Source organism: Homo sapiens, chromosome 12, assembly GCF_000001405.40.
Source record: "Homo sapiens chromosome 12, GRCh38.p14 Primary Assembly".
NCBI classification, from domain to species: domain Eukaryota; kingdom Metazoa; phylum Chordata; class Mammalia; order Primates; family Hominidae; genus Homo; species Homo sapiens.
In genome coordinates this window covers 10,150,630-10,153,933 of record NC_000012.12, presented here as the reverse complement: position 1 = coordinate 10,153,933, position 3,304 = coordinate 10,150,630, and the positions used below count along the sequence as shown (strand labels likewise).

Genomic DNA, 3,304 nt, shown 5'->3' with positions numbered 1-3,304 from the left:
TCTGCCTGGCCGCTCTAGGAGCCTGTCAACGGTGCAGACTCCACTGCCCATCCTGGGTGCTTTGCAGGCCGACATGCCTGACTGAGTTCTTTCCCAGCCGCTTGGGAGCAGTTCCGAGGCCCCGTCGCAGCCCGTGCCGGAACCTGGGGTGCAGGATGGCGGATGTGCTGGCTGGGGCCAAAGCCCTGGGCTGCGGCGTGCAGCGCCGCAGTGCGGGACCCAGATTCATGGCCTGCGCTCCAGCGGGCAAGGAGTCCCGAGTCTCAGAAAACCGAGGGAGTGATATGCCCAGATTAGGGGCAGGCGCGGAAGGTCTGCCAGCCATGGGTGTCCGCCTGAGGGAGCTGCCCAGCCCGGACAGCCTAGCAAAGGAAATGCGGGAATGACGATAGTGACTGGAGAGGACTCTCCGAAGGCTTGAGAGCGGAGCTGGTGGGGTCAGCTCCCCGCGCTGGGCCACACCACAGGACGTTGTTGCGAGCTCGCTGAAACGTAAAAACCCGCAGCGCTGGCCGTTACTCTTATGCGCCATCTGCTGGATGATAGCCCAAATTACACCAAAAATATTCTGCCAATATATTAAATATTGGTCTGTGAAACTCAGGGCAAGAATCCAGCCACAAAGATCTTGTACAGAGCCTTGGCCCTCTGACAGCACTCATAAATGAAGCAAATGACTATATTCAACTTACACCACAGTTAAAGGAATACCAGCCCTCTCAGAAGAGAAAGAATTTTGCCAATTAAAAAGTAAGAGTGTCCCCTTACCTCCAAATGAGCACACTAGCTCCCCAGCAATGGCTCTTAACCAGAATGAAATGACAGACACAGAAATGAGAACCTAGATGGAAAGAAAGCTCACTGAGACTCAGGAGGCTGTTGAAACGCAATCCAAGGAATCCAGTAAAATGATCCAAGAGCTGAAAGATAAAAGACTTTTATTTATTTATTTATTTATTTATTTTTGAGATGGAGTCTTGCTCTGTCACCCAGGCTGGAGTACAGTGGCACGATCTCAGCTCACTGCGACCTACACCTACCAGGTTAAAGCGATTCTCCTGCTTCAGCCTCCCAAGTAGCTAGGATTACAGGCGAACACAACCAGGCCTGGCTAATTGTTTGTATTTTTTGGTAGAGACAGGGTTTCGCCATGTTGGCCAGGCTGGTCTTGAACTCCTGACCTCAAGCGATCCACCTGCCTTGGCCTTCCAAAGTGCTGTGATTACAGGCGTGAACCACCACACCCAGCCTGAAAAAAATAATTTTAAGAACGAACCATACTGAACTTCTGGAATTGACACATTTACTACAAGAATTTCATAATACATTTGGAAGCATTAATAGCAGAATAGACCAAGCTGTGAAGAAATTCAAAGACTGGTTCTTTGAATCAACTCAGTCAGACAAAAATAAAGAAGAAATAATTTTAAAAAAATGGACAAAAGCCCTGAGAAATATGGAATTATATAGAGAGACCAAACCTATAACTCATTGGTATTCCTGAGAGAGGAGAGAGAGTAAGCTATTTGGAAAATATATTTGAGGATACGATCCATGACAATCTCTCCACTCCCACTAGAGATGTTAACATACAAATTTAAGAAATATAAGGCCTGGCGTGTTGTCTCATGCCTGAATCCCAGCATTTGGGAGGCCAAGGTGGGTAGATCACTTGAGGTCAGGAGCTCAAGACCAGCCTGGCCAACATGGCAAACCCGTCTGTACTAAAAATACAAAAATTAGCTGGACATGGTGGTGCATGCCTGTAATCCCAGCTACTTGGGAGGCTGAGGCAGGAGAATCGCTTGAACCTGGGAGGCAGAGGTTGCAGTGAGCCAAGATCGTGCCATTGCCCTCCAGCCTGGGCAACAAGAGTGAAACTCCATCTCAAAAAAAAAAAAAAAAGAAGTACAGATAACCCCCATGAGATACTAGACACAACAAGCATTCCCAAGGCACATAGTTATCAGATTCATCAAGGTTAATGCAAAAGAAAAAATGTAAAGGCATCTAGAGAGAAGGGTCAGGTCGTTTACAAAATGAGGACCATCAGGCTAGTAGCAGACCTCTAAGCAAAAGCCTTATGAGTCAGAAGAGATTGGGGCCTATTTTCAGTGTTCTTAAAGAGAAGGAATTCCAACCAAAAAATTTATGTCCTGATAAACTAAGCTTGACTGGTGAAGGGGAAATAAATTTCTCAGACAAGCAAATGCTTAAGGGAATTTGTTACCACTAGACTAGCCTTACAAGACGTCTTTATAGGAGTGCTGTAAAGATGGAAATGAAAGAATGATACCTGCTATCACAAAAATGCATTTAACCACATAGCCCACCAACAATATAAAGCAACTATGCAATAGAAACTACAAAGTCACCAGCTAAGAACATGATGACAGGATCAATGTCACATATCAGTACTAACTCTAGGCCAGGCACAGTGGCTCATGCCTGCAATCGCAGCACTTTGGGAGGTCGAGGTGGGCGGATCACTTCAGGTCAGGAGTTCACAACCAGCCTGGCCAACATGGTGAAACCCCATCTCTACTAAAAAATACAAAAATTAGCTGAGCATGGTGGTGTCTGCCTGCAGTCCCAGCTTCTCAGGAGGCTGAGGCAGGAGAATCACTTGAACCCAGGAGGCAGAGGTTGCAGTGAGCCAAGATCGTGCCACTGCATTCCAGCCTGGGTGACAGAACAAGATTCTGTCTCAAAAAAAAAAAAAATTATTCTGGTGTGGTGGTGCATGCCTGTAATCCCAGCTACTCGGGGGGCTGAGGCATGAGAATCTCTTGAACCCAGGAGGTGGAGGTCACAGTGAGCTGAGATCGTGCCACTGCACTCCAGCCTGGGTGACACAGTGAGACTCTGTCTCAAAAAAATGAAATAAAATAAAAAATAAAAATACAATCAAACAGGAACTGAATGAAATTGAGTTGCAAAACACCATATGAAAGATCAATGAAACCAAGAACTGGTTCTTTGAAAGAATAATCATGATTGATAGGCCATAAGGTAGGTTAATAAAAAAAAGAAATAAGCACAATCAGAAATTACAAAGATGAGATTACAACAAATTCCTCAGAAATACAAAGGATCCTAAGAGACCATTATGAAAATCTCTATGCAAATTAAAAATCTAGAGGAAATGGATAAATTCCTGGAAACATATAACTTCCCAAGATTGAACCAGGAAGAAAGCAAAAACCTGAACAGACCAATAACAAATTCCAAAATTGAAACAATAATAAGAAATCTACCAACCAACAAAAGTCTTGAACAAGATGGCTTCAGAGCTGAATTATAG

At 45.0% G+C, this 3,304-nt stretch overlaps 3 annotated features.

The window, feature by feature from the left end:
• Positions 1-190: an enhancer, noted in NCBI's record as "active region_5959". NCBI's record gives its function as "activates an Ori minimal core promoter by ATAC-STARR-seq in GM12878 lymphoblastoid cells {active_cell/tissue: GM12878}" and the evidence as "EXISTENCE:reporter gene assay evidence [ECO:0000049][PMID:35858748]".
• Positions 145-648: an enhancer, noted in NCBI's record as "H3K27ac-H3K4me1 hESC enhancer chr12:10305885-10306388 (GRCh37/hg19 assembly coordinates)". NCBI's record gives its function as "activates a minimal SCP1, AML or CMV promoter by ChIP-STARR-seq in primed H9 embryonic stem cells {active_cell/tissue: H9 hESC(primed)}" and the evidence as "EXISTENCE:reporter gene assay evidence [ECO:0000049][PMID:30033119]".
• Positions 201-290: an enhancer, noted in NCBI's record as "active region_5958". NCBI's record gives its function as "activates an Ori minimal core promoter by ATAC-STARR-seq in GM12878 lymphoblastoid cells {active_cell/tissue: GM12878}" and the evidence as "EXISTENCE:reporter gene assay evidence [ECO:0000049][PMID:35858748]".